The 8,806-nt window shown below is 45.7% G+C and overlaps 1 protein-coding gene across 5 annotated transcripts, besides 3 other annotated features; it reads right to left on the bottom strand.

Moving 5' to 3' along the window:
- PEX11B (peroxisomal biogenesis factor 11 beta) lies at positions 1,142-8,511 on the bottom strand. Of its 5 annotated transcripts, none has more exons than NR_073493.2 (4): positions 7,749-8,252; positions 7,495-7,610; positions 6,611-6,812; positions 1,142-2,360 (listed from the first exon to the last, which is right to left on the bottom strand). NR_073493.2 is itself a non-coding variant. In NM_001184795.1 (4 exons), exons 1-4 carry the CDS (start codon positions 8,237-8,239, stop codon positions 1,955-1,957), a joined length of 738 nt encoding a protein of 245 aa, NP_001171724.1. In that variant the 5' UTR covers positions 8,240-8,323; the 3' UTR covers positions 1,142-1,954. The 5 variants fall into 5 exon arrangements, 2 of the variants coding, with proteins under 2 accessions (NP_001171724.1, NP_003837.1); NM_001184795.1 differs by having other exon boundaries at positions 8,226-8,323; NR_073491.2 differs by lacking the exon at positions 7,749-8,252 and adding an exon at positions 8,431-8,511 and having other exon boundaries at positions 1,144-2,360.
- Positions 7,664-8,210: an enhancer, noted in NCBI's record as "H3K4me1 hESC enhancer chr1:145516673-145517219 (GRCh37/hg19 assembly coordinates)". NCBI's record gives its function as "activates a minimal SCP1, AML or CMV promoter by ChIP-STARR-seq in naive H9 embryonic stem cells {active_cell/tissue: H9 hESC(naive)}" and the evidence as "EXISTENCE:reporter gene assay evidence [ECO:0000049][PMID:30033119]".
- Positions 8,211-8,758: an enhancer, noted in NCBI's record as "H3K27ac-H3K4me1 hESC enhancer chr1:145516125-145516672 (GRCh37/hg19 assembly coordinates)". NCBI's record gives its function as "activates a minimal SCP1, AML or CMV promoter by ChIP-STARR-seq in naive H9 embryonic stem cells {active_cell/tissue: H9 hESC(naive)}" and the evidence as "EXISTENCE:reporter gene assay evidence [ECO:0000049][PMID:30033119]".
- Positions 8,557-8,656: an enhancer, noted in NCBI's record as "active region_1615". NCBI's record gives its function as "activates an Ori minimal core promoter by ATAC-STARR-seq in GM12878 lymphoblastoid cells {active_cell/tissue: GM12878}" and the evidence as "EXISTENCE:reporter gene assay evidence [ECO:0000049][PMID:35858748]".

An 8,806-nucleotide genomic window follows, 5' to 3' on the forward strand; every position in this document is an offset into this window, starting at 1 on the left:
TATTTCTCTGCCTTGGTGCTGCCCCCTGGAGGCCTCATCTCTATATCCAGAGAACATATTTTTTTGCCCATTTCTGCTATTTCTTTTTTTCTACTGTTTATTGTTGCCAGGTCAATAATGCTTTCCTCAAATTTGGAACAGGAGTGGGAGATGGATTCTTTTTTATAAGAAAAGAATCTTAAACTTTTGTTTAAAAGTTTTAGACAAATTATTTATATTGAGAATACAGACAGGGTTTCACTATGTTACCCAGGCTGGTCTTGAACTCCTGAACTCAAGGAATCCTCCCACCTCAGCCTCCCAAAGTGAGCCACTGCACCCAGCTGGGAGATAGGAGATAGATTCAGATTTTTTTTTTTCTTTTTTAAGGCAGAGTCTCACTCTGTCACCCAGGCTGGAGTGCAGTGGCACAATCTTGGCTCACTGCAACCTCTGTCTCCCACGTTCAAGCATTTCTCATGCCTCAGCCTCCCAGGTAGCTGGGACTACAGGCACATGCCACCATGCCTGGCTAATTTTTTATTTTTAGTAGAGGCAGGGTTTCACCATGTTGGCCAGGCTGGTCTTGAACTCCTGACCTTAAGAGATCCACCTGCCTCGGCCTCCCAAAGTGCTGGGATTACCGGCGTGAGCCACCACGCCTGGCCGATAGATTCACTTCCTAACCTTATTTATCTCAACCTGGAATATGGAAAATGAAAGAGCTGATAGCAGTGGTATCATTTCCCTACCCACCCAGGGGAGTCTCAACTTGTGAAGACACAGCTCCAAATCCTTACCAGCCCCACTCCACTTGGTTCTGTCCTTGGCTCTTAGCCTATGCTGTCATATGGCATTCTGCTTCTTAGAGGGATTATATCTGAACTGGTATGAGATGTGCTTTGTGGAGCCAGGACAATAACTTTAGTATTAGACCACTCCTCTGCCACCCCAACTCCTCAGCTAGGTTATAAACTTCTTAAAGTTGGGAGTGTGGAGCTTCTTAGATTTTTGGATGCCCACTAAGTATGTTGCTTTACATACTGTAGGTGCTCAAGAAAAATAATGTGGGTGATGTTAGTGGCTAATCCCGAGAAAAACCCAAACCACAGTGACAGGAATAGGGGCCTCAAATTACCAAAAAATGAGGGACCAGACCAAATGTCGATGAGCAAACTGAACTTTAATTTGCTTACCTGAAAGGCTTGCTCTTCATTATTGGCATAGGCCACAGCTATTTACACAGAATCATTGTACAGGATTTACAGCAAGATGCTACACATAGCATCATTCTGGATAAGCGACAAAGGAGTAAGAACAGACTGGGGAATAAAGCTCTGAAATCAAAGTGTAAGCAGAAATCTGAAGGTAGGTGTACAAGGAAGGATAAGGGCCAAATGATGAGCGAGGTTGGTGAGGTAGACATAAGGGAGGAAGAGGAAACATCCAACAACTTGTGGTGCAGAGATATAAGGGAAGAGTCCACTGGCACATAGTCTTAAAAATTATGTTTGGAGTTTGAAGGAGGAAAAATCTGCCATAAGCCACCTCTGTGAGAAAAAAGAAGGCAGTTAGAACCTTACAGGCCAAACCTTATACCTCCCCTATCAAAAAGTAATTCTGCTGATTAAATCCCTGGATAGGAGAATGAGAAGGTTGAAAAAAGAAAGAGAGAGATGCATAGACACAGAACCTTAAACAGAGTTAAGAGACACAAAGTAAATATATTCAAGAGAGACACAAAGAAAGAGGAAAAGAACAGAAGCTCAGGCACATCTAGAAATTAGAGACATCCTATTAACTTCACGAGTCATCTTTCCTTACCTCATCTTCCCCAAAGCTCTTCCTCCACCCCTAAATCTCTGAATTTCTAACTTTAACCAAAGAGTAGAATTCGAATGAGGCTGGCACATGGGGGACGATCTAAGATTCCATCTCACCAATTCAGGTCCCCTCCTTATCCTGTACCGGAAGGTCAGGGCTTGAGTCGTAGCCAGGGATAGATTAGGGTGAGAATAGACAGGATGGAGGACACGAGGCCACAAAGCCCCACAATCCCAGGGCCACAGCGCCAGAGGCCTAGTTTGTCCAGAGGAATGAAGAGATCACAGGCATTTCTGACCACGTCTAGCAGAAGTGGGGGATGACCTCTAAGGACTCGAGCCAGGAGCAGGACTTGCAGCCGAAGTTTCAGAGCCAGTTGGGGCAGACCTCCTCCTGGAGTCCCTGGTCCCCCAAGTCCCCCAGTTTCACTTCCTCCTGGGACTCCTCCTCCAGAACCTTTCAGTCGCCGGCTACAAGCAGAAGACTCTTGCTCCATCAGTAGGCGAATCTCATAAGCATCACGGCTCAAATTCATGATGAGGGAAAACAAATAGTACCTGATACACAGAGCAAAAGGGTCAGTAAGGGCATGTATACCTACTTAACATATCCAACATCACATTTTAACATTTTCTTTTCCTGTAGCAAAGAGATTACACATTAGATCAGAAGTAAAGTGAATGCTATTACCCCTATTAGAAATGTCCTCCATCGAGGACACTATGCTAAGCAAAATAAGCCAGACACAGAAAGACAAATACTGCATAATCTCACTTATAGGTGGAAGCTAAAATAAGGCCGGGCGTGGTGGCTCATGCCTGTAATCCCAGCACTTTGGGAGGCCAAGGCAGGTGGATCACCTGAGGTCAGGAGTTTAAGACCAGCCTGGCCAACATGGTGAAACCCCGTCCCTACTAAAAATACAAAAATTGGCCAGTTGTGGTGGCCAGCACCTGTAATCCCAGCTACTTGGGAGGCTGAGGCATGAGAATTGCTTGAACCCAGGAAGCAGAGGTTGCAGTGAGCCGAGATCTCACCACTGCACTCCGGCCTGGGCAACAAAGCAAGACTCTGTCTCAAAAAAAAAAAAAAAAGGCTAACTCATAGGGGCACAGAATAGAATGGGGGTTGCCAGGGGTTGGGGAGTGAGGGAAATGGGAAGATACTGGTCAAAGCGTATAAGTTTCAGTTATGCAAGATGAGTAAGTTCTGGAGATCTAATGTACTACATTGTGACTATAGTTAACAATACTGTATTGTATATTTGAAATCTGCCAGGAAGGTAGATCTTAAGTGTTCTTACCATAAAAGAAAAAAGGTAATTATGTGAGGTGATGGATATGTTAATTAGCTTGACTGTGGTGATCATGTCACAACGTACATGTACAAACATCGAGCTATAACTCCTTAAATATATGTAATTTCTATTTGTCAATTATGTCCCAATAAAAATGAAGAAACAAAGTCCTCCCAACATTCTGTAACTAATACATGTTTATGTGCACCTTAAGATCCTGGTTTAAACTCCATGAGCATCATGAAATCTTCCAAGGTCAATCTCAAATTTCATTTTCCACTTGGCAACACACACACACACACACACACACACACACACACACTCTCCATCTCTCTCTCAACTTGACCTATAACAAGGCAAACTTGTTTTGAAAGAACAAATTTCAGATGTCTCAGAGACTCAAACATATTAAAGGTGATCTAAATCCAATCCCTATTCCTTTAGAGGCCCAGAGGTTTAAGTAATTGCCAAATGTGTTAAATTATAAATTTCTTCAGTAAAAAATCCATGTTTTTTATTTGTAATCCAATCTGACAATGGTGGTCTGTACTCAATAACTTGTACTACCTTCAAAGTATATCCTGAACCCAACCAACCACATCTCTCTATCACACCGCACTGCCATACTCTAAGCCACTAACATCTCTTGTCTGGACTTCTGCTTTAATGTTTTAACTGGTCTCACTGTGGCCATTGTTGCCCCCACCCCCAACAATCTATTTTCATATAATAGCTAGCATAAACATAAATCACATCATTACTTCCCTTCTTAAAACTCTCCATGGTTGGCCAGGCGTGGTGGCTCACGCCTATAATCCCAGCACTTCGGGAGGTGGAGGCAAGTGGATCATGAGGTCAGGAGTTGGAGACTAGCCTGACCAACGTGGTGAAACCCTGTCTCTACTAAAAATACAAAAATTAGCTGGGTGTGGTGGCGCGTGCCTGTAATCCCAGCTACTCAGGAGGCTGAGGCAGCAGAATCACTTGAACCCAAGAGATGGACGTTGCAGTGAGCTGAGATTGCACCATTGCGCTCCAGCCTGGGCGACAGAGCAAGACTCCATCTCAAAAAAAAAAAAAACCAAAAACAAATAAACAAACCACAGCTCTCCATGGTTTTCTTCCTGTCACATTCATAATAAAATATAAATACCTTAGAGAGGCTTACAGACTCAACATCTGGTCCCTACCCCTCTAACTTTACCTTGTATCATTCTTTCCTGCAATCATTATGCTCCAACCATGTTGGTTTCCTTCTACATTTTAATCCCATCAAGCTTGTTCTTGCCTTAGGACCTTTGCACTACCTATTCCCTCTACCTGGAATATTCTCCCTCCACCTGGAATATTCTCCCTCCAAAACCCTCACATAGCTAGCTCTTTCTTGCTCTTCAGGTATGAGCTTAAGTATCACCTCTTCGGAGACGCCTTCCCTTATCCCTAAATCTAAAGCACTGAGTCAGTTACTCTCTACTCCATAACACTGTTTTAATTTCCTGCATAACATTTACCAGTATCTGATATTTTAATTTATTGTTTATTTATGTTTATCTCATCCCATTACAAGGTAAGTTCCAGAGGAGCAGAGGCCTTGTTTGTCTTTTCTTTTTTTTTGAGACGGTATTTCACTGTTGTTGCCCAGGCTAGAGTACAATGGCACGATCTCGGCTCACCACAAACTCTGCCTCCCGGGTTCAAGCGATTCTCCTGCCTCAACCTCCCGAGTAGCTGGGATTACAGGCATGCGCCACCACACCCGGCTAATTTTGTATTTTTAGTAGAGACGGGGTTTCTCCATGCCGGTCAGGCTGGTCTCAAAACTCCTGACCTCAGGTGATCCGCCCGCCTTGGCCTCCCAAAGTGCTGGGATTACAGGCATGAGCCACCGCACCTGGCCGGCCTTGTTTATCTTTAACCACTGTATCCCTGTATGTACACTGGTGCCTACCATATAGTAAGAGCTCAGTAAGTATCTGTTGGATGAAATGAATAAATATAACATATAGACTCCTTTAGGGAGTTGCTTTTCCATACTGCTCCAGCCATGCCTCTGCTCCCACCCCTCATACATCATAAGCCATGTTAAAGTTGTAAATCACTGAGAAAGATGAAGGGAAAAGCAAGGTTAATATAATGAAAAAGTACAATCATAGGAAAACGAAAAACAATACAGATAATATGTTAGAGAATTTTACTCCCACATCATATTTCTCTCTACCTTTATTGTCAGCTACCTCCTTTGTCCAAGCCAACGTCATCTCTTGCTCGTATTAGGGCATCTCCTCCTCTCTTGACCCACTGCAATCCATTTTCTTTTCTTTTCTTTTCTTTTTTTTTTTTTTTTGAGATGGAGTCTTGCTCTTGTCACCTAGGCTGGAGTGCAATAGCACGATCTCGGCTCACTGCAACCTTTGCCTCCCGGGTTCAAGCGAGTCTCCTGCCTCAGCCTCCCGAGTAGCTGGGATTACAGGTGCCCGCCACCACACCTGGCTAATTTTTGTAATTTTAGTAGAGACGGGGTTTTGCCACGTTGGCCAGGCTGGTCTTGAAGTCCTGACCTCGTGATCCCCCCAACCTCGGCCTCCCAAAGTGCTGGGATTACAGGCGTGAGCCACTGCGCCCGGCCTGCAATCCATTTTCAACATCTCAAAAAGAGATGTCCTTTAAACACAATTTGAATCATGTCATTTCCCTGCTCAGAATCCTTCAATAATGTCCCATTGTAGGATAAAATAAAACAAACATTAACATTGCCTAAAAGGCCCTGTATGAAAGATCTGGTGCCTGTCTATCTCTCAAATTTGAACTGATGGACTCAATACTGTCAATCACACTGGCTTTCTTTCTATTTCTCTAATTCCCTTAAGTCTTTCTTAGTTCAAAGCCTTACTTAGAATGTGCAATTTTCTCTGTTTGGAAATGTCTTTTCTGCTACTGTTGGCTTTGTCTAACTCCTCCTACTCAGACATCAGGTCTGAGCTAAAATATTACTTTCTCAAAGAGTTTTTTCCTGATTTTCCAATCTAAATTAGCTCCCCTTGTGATATTCTTTCATAATACCGCATACTTTTCCACAAATATATATGAGAAGTTATTCATTGTAGTATCTAACTCCCTCACTAAACTAGAAGCTTCATGGGAGCAGGCACATTATCTGTTTAGCTCTTTGCTTTATCCCCTGCGCCACAGTAAGCATCTAATAAATATCTTTGGAATGAATGAGTAAGCAGGTAGTGAGGGGGAATAACCTGTGGTATAGAAGCACAATTAAAGTGATATAATATCTTACCTTGCACAATATTAGTCATTCATTATGGAAGAGCATCTGTCTTCCATCTCTCCCCATTTGATATTCTCCGATAGTTTAAGATCTAAGTGATTGGAAGCCAAGTGACTGATCAAGACTTATATACTCTGGAAAGATCCTAAGATATCTTTCCCTCATATAAGACAAGCTATGCAATATAGAGGCTACAAAAAAAAATCTTAAAGGAGAACAGGATATCAAACCTGAATGAACGCTGGGCCCACTTCTCCTGATCCACACGGGGAGCCAGTCCAGACTTTCCAGCCCACAGGACATTGTCACAGGCGAAGTACAAGGCTCGATTGAGGTGACTAACAGTGATGCAGAATCTCAGGACAACATCTGATAGGTGAACAGCTCTTTTGGCTGACTCAAGGGCATCTGCTGAGTTACCCAGGCGTAGAACTTGTGGAGATTAGAAAGGGAAAGCAAGGATTTGTAAGTGGAGAGGCAGATAACAAGAAACAGAAACAGAGAAAGCAAGAGGGCAAAAGTTGAGCAATAATAATGACAATTTTTTTAAAGAGCAGAAACAGGCTGGGCATGGTGGCTCAAGCCTGTAATCCCAACATTTTGGGAGGCCGAGGTGGGTGGATCACCTGAGGTCACGAGTTTGAGACCAGCCTGGCCAACATGGTGTAACCCCATCTCTACTAAAAATACAAAAATTAGCCCGGCATGGTGGTGGGCACCTGTAGTCCCAGCTGCTCAGGAGGCTGAGACAGGAGAATTGCTTGAACCTGGGAGGCAGAGGTTGCAGTGAGCCAAGATTGCGCCACTGCACTCTGACCTGGACGAGAGACTCTGTCTCAAAAAAATAAAAAATAAAGAGCAGAAACAGTCCATTTTTCAATTTCAAATTTAATTTTTGTGCCAGTTTAGTTTTCTCAAACTTGACCCATTCTCTCCAGTCCGCCTAATTACTTCCATACCCCTGCTCTCTTATCTCAACTGGACTCATGCAGAGGGTAAGTGCAGAGCCAAATGAGAAAGAAGAACAGAGAGGGTACAGGAAGGAGGGACAAAGGAAGGTGAGCTGGGGATGGAGGAAAGGTTGGGGGATAAAAGGAAAGACAGAGTTACTTACGCTTTCTTCCAAGGCTCAGGTGGCTCTCCAGTTGTCGAATCTGTTTCTGTAACTCAGGACTGGCTCCATGCCTCTGCAGCGCATGGCCAAGAAGAGAGCAAGCATACTGGGCGGCCCTAGAGGAGAGGGCAGGCAAGGTAAGGTGGAGACCTCCCTAACCTTCCGCTCAAAACTATCTTCCAAAAGGCACAGACAGACTTCCCCCTTTCCCAGTTTGAGAACACTCCCCTTCCTCCTCCATGCCCATATCTCACCATTTCTCCAGGCCAGAGGAAGGGAAAGGCATAAGGAGAAAAAAGAGTCTAGAAAGGGGTGGGGAGCACTATTGAATGTTGAGCAAATTAGAGATTTGACAATGATGAGGCCTGAAGGGGCCAGTGCAGGCCGCAGGGGTCCATCACAAGCACATCAGCGTGAGCATGTACGTGATCGATGAGGGGGAGGCAGACAGTTGGAGGGCATTTTATTCCTCAGAATAGGTGAACTGAGAGATTTCAAGGCCCTCTAGCTGAATGGAGACCAAACGCCAGGGCGGAGGCAGGGGAGTTCCCGAATGGCAGCACGGTGTGGGGACACGGAAACTGGGAGTGCCTCCTCAGCTCTGGGGGCAGAGTCTGGGGCTATCCACCGTGGGGCGAATGCTCCTCATTCCATCACCGCCCAGTGAGGACACTGTCGGTCTTATGTGGACACAGCAACCCTGAGCGGCCTCCCCGCTGGCCCACTCATGCCTCAGTTTCCCCATCTCTTCCGCGAACGGAAAGGAATCATCTCAACAGCGGCTCAAATCTGCGCCTCACGGTCCGTTCGGGCCCCCGTAGCCGGAGTTGACCCTTCTTGACCCCCCTGTAGCCTAAACTGACTTCGCCTCACTAGAGTCTTCCTCTGTCCATCCCTCCCCCGCCCCACCCCCATTCCTATTCGGGCCGCACCTACACAGCCGCTCCCGGGCTTGGCTCTGAGCACTGAAGCGGACCCAGGCGTCCATGACAGCCGCAGCCCAGGCTCCGCGGCCCTGCTCCCGCCCCACTTCCCGCCCCTAGTCACGCCTACTGCGCGACCCAACGGTGCCTCGCGAGGGACAAACAGTATCAGAAAAGAAAGCTTGGCCCTGGAAGCGGAATTTCAGGACGCGAAACTCGTGTCTTTTGAGCCTCCATCTGTGTATTACTGTGCGTGTCTGCGTCACAGCTTCCCCTTATCAGACGACCCCTACTCCCTAGCACGCCTCCAGCGGCACCTTCTTCTTTAAATATTCATGACCAAGGGCGGGGCCTGCAGGGGCCGGGGCGGGGCGAGAAAGCGCCGCAGT

The sequence above is a fragment of the Homo sapiens genome, chromosome 1 (genome assembly GCF_000001405.40).
Source record: "Homo sapiens chromosome 1, GRCh38.p14 Primary Assembly".
In the NCBI taxonomy this organism is placed as follows: domain Eukaryota; kingdom Metazoa; phylum Chordata; class Mammalia; order Primates; family Hominidae; genus Homo; species Homo sapiens.